This window comes from Homo sapiens, chromosome 3 (assembly GCF_000001405.40).
Source record: "Homo sapiens chromosome 3, GRCh38.p14 Primary Assembly".
Lineage (NCBI taxonomy): Eukaryota > Metazoa > Chordata > Mammalia > Primates > Hominidae > Homo > Homo sapiens.
In genome coordinates, this window is record NC_000003.12 from 45,904,372 (window position 1) to 45,916,898 (window position 12,527).

General features: G+C 48.7%; 1 protein-coding gene across 12 annotated transcripts in view, besides 2 other annotated features; it reads right to left on the minus strand.

Annotated features, from left to right (window-relative positions):
- The window catches only part of LZTFL1 (leucine zipper transcription factor like 1), a 92,409-nt gene extending 81,056 nt beyond the window's left edge, over nt 1-11,353 (minus strand). For all 12 annotated transcript variants that reach the window (NR_170121.1, NM_001405925.1, NM_001405920.1 and 9 more), the window contains exons 1-2: nt 11,050-11,353; nt 8,749-8,806 (exon numbers count right to left, since the gene is read on the minus strand). Coding sequence is in view for 5 of the 12 variants with exons in the window: in NM_001405925.1 (NP_001392854.1) it covers nt 8,749-8,775 (27 nt within the window). In the remaining 7 variants the exon portion in view is untranslated. The remainder of the gene's footprint in view (nt 1-8,748; nt 8,807-11,049) is intronic.
- Nucleotides 10,898-12,097: an enhancer, noted in NCBI's record as "MED14-independent group 3 enhancer chr3:45956761-45957960 (GRCh37/hg19 assembly coordinates)". NCBI's record gives its function as "activates an origin of replication core promoter dependent on BRD2, BRD4, P300/CBP and CDK7 cofactors, and independent of MED14, by STARR-seq in HCT116 cells {active_cell/tissue: HCT116}" and the evidence as "EXISTENCE:reporter gene assay evidence [ECO:0000049][PMID:35650434]".
- Nucleotides 11,537-11,806: an enhancer, noted in NCBI's record as "active region_19786". NCBI's record gives its function as "activates an Ori minimal core promoter by ATAC-STARR-seq in GM12878 lymphoblastoid cells {active_cell/tissue: GM12878}" and the evidence as "EXISTENCE:reporter gene assay evidence [ECO:0000049][PMID:35858748]".

Sequence of the window (12,527 nt, forward strand, 5' to 3'; positions counted from 1 at the left end):
GGGACTGGTGGTCAAGGAAGGAACTGACTAGACCAGGACTGGACGCCAATGCTTTTCCCAGCTTTGGTGTCCAAGGCTTTGGCCTTGTGAGTTGCCCTGATTGCATCCTGAGAGAGCTGACACAGCTCCTGAGAGAGCTGAGTGGCTATAACTTCTTCTTTGCCCATTGTAGTTGTTACAGAGAGTCCTGAGCAAGGAAGGAAGCAGTCCACAGTGAGCTCCTTCCATTTTGGTCTTGTGGACCTTCCCCCAGGCCATCGCCATTGCAGTATGGCCATTATGGGTGGTATCTTGGTTTCTGTGATGGTGTTGACTTGAATACAAAGCCAAGGCTTTCGTGAAGCATTCATGAGTTGACACCTTTGGAGACCACCACAGTCTTTCTGCTTCATCAATGCAAAGCTGTCTCACACTTCCAGATGGTTCTTTTGTGCTTGCCATCTTTGAGTGGGTTTGCTTGGCTTTCCAGTTCTAAGTTGGCCTCACAAGAACTGGAGCTTCTTGTGGGGTCCAGAACAAAGCACAGCCGAAATCATCCCCCAGCACCAGCCTGGCTCCAGTGCCCACAGATCTCTGTCCCTCACTGAAGTTGGCCACTCCAGCTTCACCGGAGGGTTCTTCTCCTATACATTGGACAGCTTGTCTCAATGTGAGGTCTGTTCAGGGGCTCCCCGTGACTTTGAAAAAAGAGAAGTAATCATGGGCTCCAGCACCTGCACCTGACATGTTTTAGATACTCAAAAAAAATCTTTCTCTCCATTCAACGAGTAGTCACTGATTGTTTAGTCACTGTGTGTGGTTAGTAAGTACCACAGCCTTAGAATTCCCCTCCCAGCCAAGACACACCATAGTGCTTCTGCAATAAAGTCTCTCTCTCTCCCCATCTCATGTGCTCCTCCCTTCCAGTTGAGGTCCCTATCCAACATGCTCCTGGGACAATGAGCTAGTTCTCTAATCATTCCTACATTATTAGAACAGACAACCCAGACAGCTAATGACCCATTTAATGTCTTTCTTTGACTTTTATATTATCAAAGCCTAAAAATGACATGCAAATATGTGTCTTTCCAACAGGTGATTCCTTATGAGGTCCTCTCCACATATTTACTTGTATACGCTCAATTGTGGCACCACAAGCTAAGCAAAAAACCTCTATGGTCATATGGAGATGCCTCAAGAAAGAACTTGTAGGGAGTATGGTCGGCACAGGCCCTCTGGTTGCCAGTTCTTCAGGGCCCGCCTCCACTGCAGAGCCGCCCTGCCCAAGCCAGGCCTTCCCAGGGTCACCTGTCTCTGGTGCCTGTGAGACAGAGAATAGCGTCATCTCAGCCCGATGGTGGCACTCTGATGGGCAGAATCCACTCCAGGGCACTCTGCCAGCACACCCTCATGGTGCACTTTTGAAGAAGGGAATCAGCAGGGCCTTGGCTGTCACACGTCACCATTTAGCATTTGCATGACATGGTCAGTGAGAGGGGTGCTGGCCAACCTTGTGCCTGTCAGTCTTTTTAGCCCCTGGTCCTCAGAACAAAATCTGGCTTGGCAAATGCTGGTCGACTCTCCAAAGCCAGGGCTTTGTGAAGCCTTCATGGCAGTTTGAGTTCTCTCTCTGCCCAATCATGCTTCCTCTCACATCCCTCCAAAGGCATTGATTCCTAATAAACACCTTGCACCCCAAACTCCAGCTCAGTACCTCCTAGAGAAGTCGTCCTGCAACAATTTTCTCACCAGGGGCTGCCAATTCCAAGAGCCCACCTAAGGCTGGATGGGTAAGAACACTGGGTATGCAGGAGATCCATAGTGTGGTTGGGCGCCAGTCACAGAACTCCTCTGAGAAGGCTGAGAGCATGGGTCCTGTCTCATTATAACCTAAGCATTCAGCAGATATGCTTGGGCACCAGCTGCATGCCAGGGGCCCCATGGTGTATAAGACAGCCACGATACCTCCCAGAATTTTGAGCACCATTGCTAACCCTGATTTACAGAGGAAGGAGCTGAGCCTCAGAGATACCAAGTAACTCATCTGAGCCCATGCAGTTAGTAATTGGCTTTGTCTGACATGGTCAGACAAACCAGCCCTTGCTTTGGAGGGTTGACCAGCATTTGCCAAGCCAGACTTTGTGCTGAGGACCAGGGACTGAAAAGATGGACAGGCACGAGTTTGGCCAGCACTCCTCTCACTGACCATGTCATGCAAATGCTAAATGGTAACATGCCACAGCCAAGGCCCTGCTGACTCCCTTCTTCAAAAGTGCACCATGAAGGTGTGCTGGCAAAGGACAATGGTGTCATCTTCACAGAATCGAGAAGGTTCCTAGCTGCTACCTCTCCCAGGCTCTTCCCCACACACATATGGCTGTGGAGCCTTAATTCCTTCATGAAGAAGCCACAGATTTCACCGGAGGTGTGTGTGTGCAGGTCCAAGGACCAAACACCTGGGCCTAGGCATGTGTCTGAACCTTAGAATTCCTGCTGTTGGCTTTCCTCTTCTCCCTGCCCCATTCCCCTGCCTCTCCCATCCCTGGCTCCTCTCTCTCAGATGCAAGACCGATGAATAAATTTCCTGGGCCTGGTACAAGATGTGGCTTTAGGTCAGATTCCCTGTGCGGGATCCAGGCATTACTCACTGCTGTCCCCACGTGGCCCCAGATCTCCTCTGCAGCCAGTCAGATGATCTCAAGGGGCATGCAGACCTCTCAGGTTGGCTCTGTCCATCCTGCCCATGGCCGGTGGTCTGCAGGGCTGGCTTCCGCCCTGGCTCTTCCTCTCTGGGTCTAGGTGGCCAGGCTTAGGCCCCAGTCCCTGGTCTCCCTGGGCTGGGGCTTTCACCAGACCCCAGGCTCAGATCTGAGGAGCTTCCCTAAGCCTCCTCCCCTGCCCAGGGACTGGCATCTCCTTCTGGGAGTCACCCTCCAGGCTTTCCTGAAAAGCTGTGGCTGCTGCCTGGATTCCCTGGCCTGATGATGGCCCTGCCCCTCACCACCTGGACGAACACTGTGCCTGCTCCACCAGCGGCCCTCGCTCAGGCCAGGCTCTGTGGCCAGGTAGGTGCTTCAAGGAACCTGTCTCTTCCTGCATCTGCTGCAGCATCCTTCTGCAGACTCTCCACTTTCTAGACCTCAAATACACATTTCAAGCACATCTGAATTGTGTCATCTGGAAATTTCTAAACAGTGTAAACAACCCTCAGTCAAGAGCTGGCCGAAGCGTCCCTTCTCGTATTAAAAGGTACTATGGCAATTGCTGATGTGGCTCGCTGCGTGGGCATGGCAAGATGACGTGGCAAAGTCCCAGAGTGACAGTTAGAGCCCGGTTATCCTCCTGTGTGGCACACTGCTTGTCCCTTTCCTTCACAGCACTCCTCTCATTTGTAATTCGCTAGTATTCTTCTTCCTACTGATTGATCCTCTGACTCCTATGTTTGGACCCTCAGCAACAAGCAGCCACGGACTGTGCGTGTTCTTGCTCACGTGTGTCTGCCCAGCAACAGGTACAGTGCCCAGAATGAGAGCTGCGTCTCTAGCATTTGCATGATGTTATGACAGTCTTTGAGGCCAGAAAGAGCTACAGCAATGGAAAATGTTTGGAGACTTGGAGAGTTAGGCAAGAAAGACAGGGACTGAACTCTGAACAGCTGCAGACAGTGAGTCAGCTGGGTGGATTAAGGATGACCTATAGGAAGCAGGGGAGAAAGGAGCAACAGTTTCTTTGATGCTCCTCCCATCAAAACATGGGGTTGATGTCCCCTCTCCTTGAATCTGGGTGGGCTCTGGGTTTGCTTGAACAGTGGAATTTGGTGCAAGGGATGCTGTGCCAGTTTCTGGGTGCAGACTCAGAAGAAGAGGCTGGCAGCTTCCACATCCTGTGCCGTGGGAGGCTTGCTCTGGAAACCCTAAGCTGCCGTGTCAGAAGGCTGCCCACCCTGAGACCACCGTGCTGGAGAGGCCACAAGTAGGCCCAGCATTTCAACTGTTGCTGTAATTAGCCTCATTCAACATTTATTGAGCATTTAGTACATGCTAAGCACTGGGCAAGGTGGTGAGCAACGGCAGACACAGGCGTGGTGCTCATGAAACTCACAATCACAGACCCAAGTCACACCATCACAGGAACAAGCTGATGGTTATCAGTACAGGAAGCTAGAGAGTGTGACAGGGGACTCTGATCTGCTCTGGAAAGGGGAGCCAGGGAAGGCGTCCCTGAGGAGGTAGCGTTTGAGCTGAGAGCTGAAGAATGGACAGGAATGACCTACAGGAAGCAGGGGAGAAAGGGGAGGAGGGCGGTGTGTGCCAAGGCCCCGCACCACTCATGCCTGTGGGACATCACTGTCAACTCTCTGGTGAAGTGTCCATGCATGCAATTGGTTTAGGACTTCTCCACTCATGTTCTTTTCTTTTTAAACTTTTTAATTACAGAAATTTAAAAACATACACAAAAGCAGAGGGAATAGTATTAATGCAGGGGTCCCCAACCCCTGGGCCACAGACCACTACTGCTCTGTGGCCTGTTAGGAACCAGGCTGCACAGGAGGAGGTGAGTGGCAGGCAAGTGAGTGAAGCTTCGTCTGTATTTATAGCTGCTCCCCATCGCCTGCATCACCGCCTGAGCTTCGCCAACTGTCATATCAGTGGCGGCATTAGATTCTTACAGGAGCACAAACCTATTGTGAACATGCAAAGGATCTAGACTGTGCACTCCCTATGAGAATCTAATGCCTGGTGATCTGTCACTGTCTCCCATTACCCCGATGAGATCGTCTAGTTGCAGGAAAACAAGCTCAGGCTTCCCACTGATTCTACATTATGGCGAGTTGTATAATTATCTCATTATACATTACAATGTAATAATAATTAAATAAAGTGCACAATAGATGTAACATGCTTGAATCATCCCAAAATCACCTCTCCACCAATGCTGCAGGTCCATGGAAAAACTGTCTTCCACAAAACTGGTCCCTGGTGTCAAAAAGGTTGGGGACCGCTGGTATAATGAAGATGCACATACCCCTCACCCAACTTCAATAATGATTAACATTCTGTCCATTTTTGGTTTCAGCTACACTTCCCACTTTTCTTTCCTTTCCTCTTCTTTGTTTCATCTGCTCCCTTCCTTCTTTTTCCTTCCTTACCTTCTTCCTTTTAAAAACAAGTTTGCTGTAGTATTTTAAAGAAAATCCAAGACATCATGCAATTCCCTTAAAAACTCATGCTCTTATCCTTATAAAGCCCCAAATCACAATTTTAAAACATTAAAATAAGAAATGGAGACTGGATGGACTCTTCCTCTGTGTGGTTAGGCCACCACTCAACAAAGGAACCGAAGGAGGGACGGAGTCCCCTGGGGATAGAGCAGCAAGCTCGGAAAGGCCTCACGCCGTGGGTGGCACTTTCTCAGGGGGGTAATCTCCAGGTGGCTCAGAATGCTCTACAGAGGCTGATAAAGGCCGCAGTGAGCTCCAGGGTTTCTCTTGTTCAACTTTTGGAAACCAGGAAGTTTCTAAGGACCACAGGAAAACTGATGTTGCCTGAGACAAGGTGGGACCATCACCCCTAATTCTCACAGGTGGCTCTGAGACAGGAAAGTGATCAGCAGAGTTAAGTGGCTAAAAGAAGAGCCATTGGTGATTGGAGGGTTATGAGTGAGAGGGAAGTCAGAGAGGAGAGGAAGGTAGGGGCACTGTTCAGGCGCAGATGATGAATTTTGATTTATTCCACTTCAGGAAGATTTTTAAGTGGGGTGTGGCATGATCCAATTCATGTTTTAAAGATCTCTAAAGCCCCCAGGAGAAGAAGGGTGGTGGCTGGGGGTTAGGGGTGGTGCAAGGAAGCAGGGATGCCAGTCAGGAGCTGTTGCAGTTGTTCAGGAAAAAGATGGTGGTGGCGGAGTTGGAGTGACGGTGGTGGTTGTGGTGTAGAGAGATGGATGGCTTTTGACTTACTCTGGGGGTAGACACAATGGTGAAGATTAGAATTGAAAGAAAGGAAGGCATCAAGGATGACTTGGGTTTTGAATCTGCACGTTTGGGTGGTTGGTGGTGCTGCCCCTGGGAGGGGAGGATCAGCAGAGAGCAAGTCTGGGGATGCTACCCGGAAGATGGTAGCCATGAGCATGGGAAGAGCTGAGGTCAAGAGAGAGTGGAGGCTGGCAGCGACCTGGCTAGGAGCAGCTTCCCAGGCATCAACAAGGCAGACTGTGATTGGCTGAGGAGCAAATCAATGGGAAGTGAGGATGTGGAAAGAGGATGTGTAGGTGAAACTTGTGTCAGGTTTGCTATGATAAAGTATCAGGAGTAATCCAATAAAACAACAAAAAAATGTAAATGGATCTCTTTTGGGTTCATTTGCAATTAAATGAAAGAAGTGATTCTAAGAACCTTGCTTGTATTCAATTCAGCTGTGTCCTGGTAACTGTTGCCACAAAATTTAGTGGTATAAAAACAATAACCATTTTATTTTATTCGCCATTTTGTGAGCCGGGAATTTGGAAGGGGCTCAGCAGGGCATATTTAGCTTGGGGTCTCTCATGTGGCTGCAGTTAGATATTGGCTGGGGCTGTGGCCACTGGAAAGCTTAACTGGAAAGCTTAACTACTGGCTTAGGGCCAGTAGTTGATGCTGGCTGCCATGCAGGGCCCCAGCACACGGCAGCTTCAGCAGGGAGGGCTCAAGGTACTCAGACCTTTTACATGGCAGCTGGCTTCCCCTGTGCAAGAGAACCAAGGGGAAGTTGCAGGTCCTTTTCTGACATGGCACCGGAAGCCACACAGTGTCCCTCTGCTCTTCCACTGGTCAGAGCAGCCAGAGGCCAGCCCGGAGTCAAGGGACTCGAGACTCCACCTCTTATTGGAAGGGTGTCAAATAACTCTAGGGCCATATTTTAAAATCACCAAAGGTGGCTACTCTGTAAATTAACTCATCTTTCAATGATCCCAATCACTCGGTCCCCCAACTTGACTAGCTGACTAATGCCCAGAAGTAATCAAAAGAGCCAAGAGAGTAAAAGGGATTGGACAAGGTGTGGATGTCTTTCTCAATGATAACAGCTATCACATTTTGAGGCACAGAGTAGCTAAGTGACTTGTCCCAAGCCAGAGGAAGTAGGTAGTGGCACTAGGAGTTGGATCCACGTCTTTCTGATTCTAGAACCCAATCTCTTAGAGGCTGTTGTACTTTCTCCCCAGTTGAAGTTCAAGCACTGATGTTCCAGTGGTCAGTTTGCACCATATGATCTGGATATAGCTCTTCTCACAAAGGCCCTGAGTCAGGAGGACAGGGGGCCCTAGCTGGGCCAGCCCCTAGGCAGGGGAAGAGGAACTCTGGCCATATTGTGGCTTCCTCCCAGGCCCTCCCCGCTCATGGCTTTATGCCGTTCAGCTTTGCTGGTAAGTAGGTCACCCCTTTGGTGAATGCAGAAAGACATCAACAACTGTGTAATGACTCCAGCATATAGGAATTGGGCATTTGGTTTTTTACTGGGAATTTGAGATGGCCGTAAGATGATGTGAATGTCTTTTTAGAAATTAGTTTTCGCATTTTAAAAGTTAAACTGGCACCTACTAAAAATACTTCAAACGACATAGAAAAGTATAAAGAGAAAAGTAAAAGCATCTTATTCCTGCCACCAACTCCAAAGCCCCACCAGCTCCATCTGCCAAGGCAGCCACTGCTGTGTCCAGCGTCTTTGTCAGGAAATGTCGCATGGGTGTGAATAGTGTTCGTCACATAGTCTCCCAGGGTGCCGTCATATACTGCTTCAATCCAACCCACTTTGAACAAATCCTTTCCTGTTTTTTGCTATCACAGACATTGTGGCCATGAAGATTGTTGCGTGTGTTTTTGCGTACTTGTATGAGTGTATCTGGAGGAGAAGGTGGGTGTTTTACTGAAGATGAAAATTGAGGTGGAAATATGTGCAAGAAGGGAAGATTATAGACTCTTTGGTAGAAATATTACAAAAATGGTCCCAATTCTCTACCCCTCACTGTCCCTGTGCCCTTTATAAAGTGACTTTGCAGTTCCTCCCATCCAGAGGAGTCCCTTTTCCCACACCTGGAATCTGGGCTGGCCTGTGACTTGCTCTGACCAACAGAACACTGTTGAAATGATGTGCCAGGTCTGAGACTGGGCTTTGCGAAGCTCGGGCACTTTTACTCACTCTCTTGGAAACCTGCTCAGTGGCCATCTGAATAAGCCCAGGCTATCCTGTTGGGGTCAGGGAGACCACATGGAGTACAGCCAAGTTGTCTGGCCAAGACCATCCTAGCCTAGCCAGCCTTTCTTTGACCAACTGACCACAGATGTAGGAGTCAACCCCAGCCACGATTAGCCAATGAGCAGCCAACCCTCAGACATGTGGGAGCACAGCCTCAATGCGTAGCTGACCACGGGCAGACAAGGGAGTGAGCCCACCAAGAGTCCAGAGCCCCCAGTCAACCTGCATATTCGTGAGCAAAATAAATCTTCAGTGATTTAAGCCACGGTTTTGAGGTTATCCAACTTCAAATAACGCAGAATAATGCAGCTTGGTCTGACAACAGGTAACTGATACAGCCTTTTGTATTAACAATCATAATAAAGGTCTGAAGGTCAAGGGCTGCCATAGCAAATCCTGGTTTATGGAAAAGCTTTTTATAAGTCATCAGATAATCTAAATTCAAGTAAAATGAGAATGGTTTAGAGAAAACCACTCCTACAGCTGTCTCAGCATAACGCAGTAGCAGTAATATGTTCTGTAAATGGTTCAGACTTACCATCTTCCCTGGGTCTTGGTTCCTCATCTGTAAAAGTGGGCTGACTTACAGCAAGAGCCTAGAAAATTATACAATTACACAAATTAAACAATGCTACTATTGTTACTATTAACAAACCAGTGCTGCAATGAGCTGATCTTTCTCTTGTTTTTCATGAGGACCTGCCACAACCTAAAGATCCTTAACTTTTTTTTTTTTTTGGCCTCATCCACACCTTTGACAATCTGACAAAGCCTATAGCCCCTTTCTCAGAATGCTTTAAAATGCAAACAATAAAATAGAATTACAAACCAATTAAATTGAAACACAATTCTCCAAATATTAAAGCAGATATATGAACTAGTAATATATGTGTCTTTTTACTAATGCATTACATAAAATCTATCAGATCTAATGACAACCTTCATTTCCGAGTGGAGATAAACATAAATGATACTTTGAGAGTCTGCAGAAATTGTCATGTAATACAAAAATATCTGCCATTTCTACTGGTGACAAAGTGACAGGTCTAGCTAGTACTAGTGTGGCATGTTGTCTCTAGTCATAATTGAAGGAAGACTTAAATTTTAATTAGTAGTTAGGGTAAAGATGCCATTTTTTCCCCCACCCATTTTCAAAGACCTTTGATTCTGTGTACCGACCAGCTTAGGAACTCCCTCCTAAACTGACCTCCCCAACGCATACCCCCTGGATACTTTCTCCATTTCTTAAAATTTGGACATGTATGGAACTCTTCTGGATTTGGGGAAGGGGATGTTTTTCCACTCAGAAATGATCTGCCAGTTGGCACCAGAACCCTTGAATAAAAATATAAGCCATAAAAAAGTTATGGTTGTAAACTATTTTACCCTTAGAATAGTTTTATACCAGGGGATTCATTTAGAAACATCCTCCTCTCCAAGACTGAAATTTCCATCATTGCGCCCTAGTGCTTGGGCTAATGGATTTGAGGAAGACGGCCTGGTTCCAAGATTCAAGGATCACAGGTAGAGTTAAATTAGGAGACAGATCAATTAGTTCATTTCCTCCTTTCCTCAAATTCTAATCAAAACAGTGGTGACACAGCAACGTTCACCAGGACCACCTGCTCCAGCATCACCTGGAGGACCTGTGAATGGACCAGACCTGATGAACCAGAATTGGAATGGGTGGTGCCCATGGATCTGCATTTTTTTTTTTTTTTTTGAGACAGGGTCTCACTCTGTCCCCCAGGCTGGAGTGCAGTGGGGCAATCACAGTTGCAGCCTCAAACTCCCAGGCTTAAGGGATTCTGCCACCTCAGCCTCCCCAGTGGCTGGGACTAGAGGCGCCTGGCTAATATTTGAATTTTTTTTGGTAGAGACGGGGTCTCCCTATGTTATGCAGGTTGGCCTTGAACTCCTGGCCTCAAGTGATCCTCCTGCCTCGGCCACCCAAAATGCTGGGATTATAGGCATGAGCCACCACACCTGGCTGGATCTGCATTTTAATATGCCTTCAGGTAACTAAAGCAAGAGAACCTTCTCCTAAGAATCTCTCTGCAACTTCCTTTTATTTACTGACACCTAATAAATGAACAGTTGACTCTGGAGCAAAACTGAGCCCTGGGTGAGTCTTGGGCTTTTCCTGATGGCTCAATACCTGAAACTTTCATAACCAAAGAAGATGGGGGCCTGATCCAGGACCAGTTCTGGTCTCCTTGTCCTTCTTCCACTGGTCACCTTCAGGGCATGAATGTGTGGTCCTCTTTCTGAGACCACCCAACAGCTGGGTGGCGTCCCTGCTGGTGCAGAGGAGCTGCCTCTTCCAAGACCTTGGGTTCCACATAGGAACCCTGTCGCTCATTCACAAGCGTCGTGGGAGGACTGGACTGAGGCTGCTGCCCCTGCTGCTTGTGAAAGCATGCAGGGCCCTGTTTGTGAAAGCTTGCAGGGCCCTGAAGCCACCTCTGAGGCAGAGGAACAAACCGGCTTGTCTTTCCACATCAGCAGTCACTGCCTTTGGTGTCTGTTCCCTCAATGGTCCAGGCTTCCTTACATTAAAGTGCTGCCTCCACCAGATGCATGGGGCAGCTTCAGCCACACCGACACCGTCATTTCTCACTGCCCCTTTCTTCCAATGAGAAAGATGGCTTCTGCTAAGCAGCCCTGGGTCCAGCCCTCCTTGCAGCCTTTAGGGAGGCCCTTTCTGTTACCCCTCTTTTCTCATCACTGCTTTGCTCTCCGATCTTTTATCCCCGCACCGCCCACCTCCGCCCCACCCTTCTCCCTCACCAGCTTTCCTCTCTCAAGCCAGGGAGAAGACAGCACCTGCCCCACTGACCTGGAAGACGGACGTTTTGGCCTCCCAGAAATGGCTTCCTTCTCTCCTCCGAGGCTCAGTCAGAGTCGGCCTTGGGAGCAGAAAGCGGGGGAGACCTCCTGAAATCATTTTTTCTGTGATGATTCTATGGACCCACAGGCCCGAAGACAGACCTGTCCTAGAAACAAGGACTTCCTTTTGGTAAGGACACTCATGCATCTCAGGTTTTGTTCATTTTTTAGCTAAAAAAGACTTAATTCATTCAAGGCTTTAGATGGGGCTGTCAACTCTTAGATAACCTCAGTGCCAGCATGGTGGGAGGTGTGAGGAAACCACACTAGTCTCCGACCTCCCCAGAGCTTGCAGGATGGGGGCGGGAGGAGGGGACACACATCAAAGCCCAGAGGTTGGCCATCACCCTTCTGCTCGCATTACCATCCTTCTTCAGAAAACAGCGGGTGTGGGAAAAGTAAAAGGCTGACCTTTCCCTCACCCCTAACCCACTTTGAATGTCTTTCATAATTGCTATGCTTTCCCCCCGCCCGGCTTTTGAGGCTTCAGCTTCAACTGCTGTCTCAAAAAAAGTCCGTTTTCTCATCTTGGGCTACTGGTTTCACCATCTGTTTGCTCTTCAGATGTGTGTGGGTGGCAAGAGGAGATTTTTCCCACGCGTCTTCAAACTGAAAGGGCTGACCTTGCTGTGAGGAGCCTTCTGAGTCACCCAGGAGTCTCTGCATCCTCAGCCCTCACCCGGCAGAGTGGCAGGGAGGGGCGGGGCACCTCTTTGTGCCACAGAGCCTGTGAACACTGAACTGGGCCCGGATTACCTGGAATCAAGCGTGGGGCTTGGAAACCCTCCAGCAAAGACTTGGGTCATCTTGAGTTATTCTGCAGTTTAGCAGGGTGGGGTGAGGTGGAATGGAGGATTTTGACCTGGAGGTCCCCAGATCCCAGCCCCAGATGCACAGCACACACATATATGTATGTCTCAACTGTTTCTTGTTCTAGCCCCCAGCCCATGAGGCCCCCAAGCCTCAGGAAGGACTGTTGTATTAACAAAGAAACTCTCTGGCTCTGTCATTTGGGGCAGGTGGAGTAACTATCTGCCATTACTGCAATCTGGTTACTAGATAGATACTTGATCTGAGGGTACCTTTTTATTTTTTTGAGACAGGGCCTCACTCTGTCACTCGTGGAGTGGCATGATCTTGGCTCACTGCAGCCTCTACTGAGTTGGGACTATAGACATGCACTACCACACCTGGCTAATTAAAGAAAAAAAAATGTAGAGACGGGGTCTCACTGTGTTGCCCAGGTGGTCTTGAACCCCTGGGCTCAAGCAATCCTCCTGCCTTGGACTCCCAAAGTGTTGGGATTACAGGCGTGAGCCACTGCGCCCAGCCCAAGGGCATCTTTGACATAAGAGGGGGTGCAGGGGGTGGGACTGAGTGACCAGCTATCATTGCCTGTATCTCCTCCTGCAGGCCCACCCTTTCCCT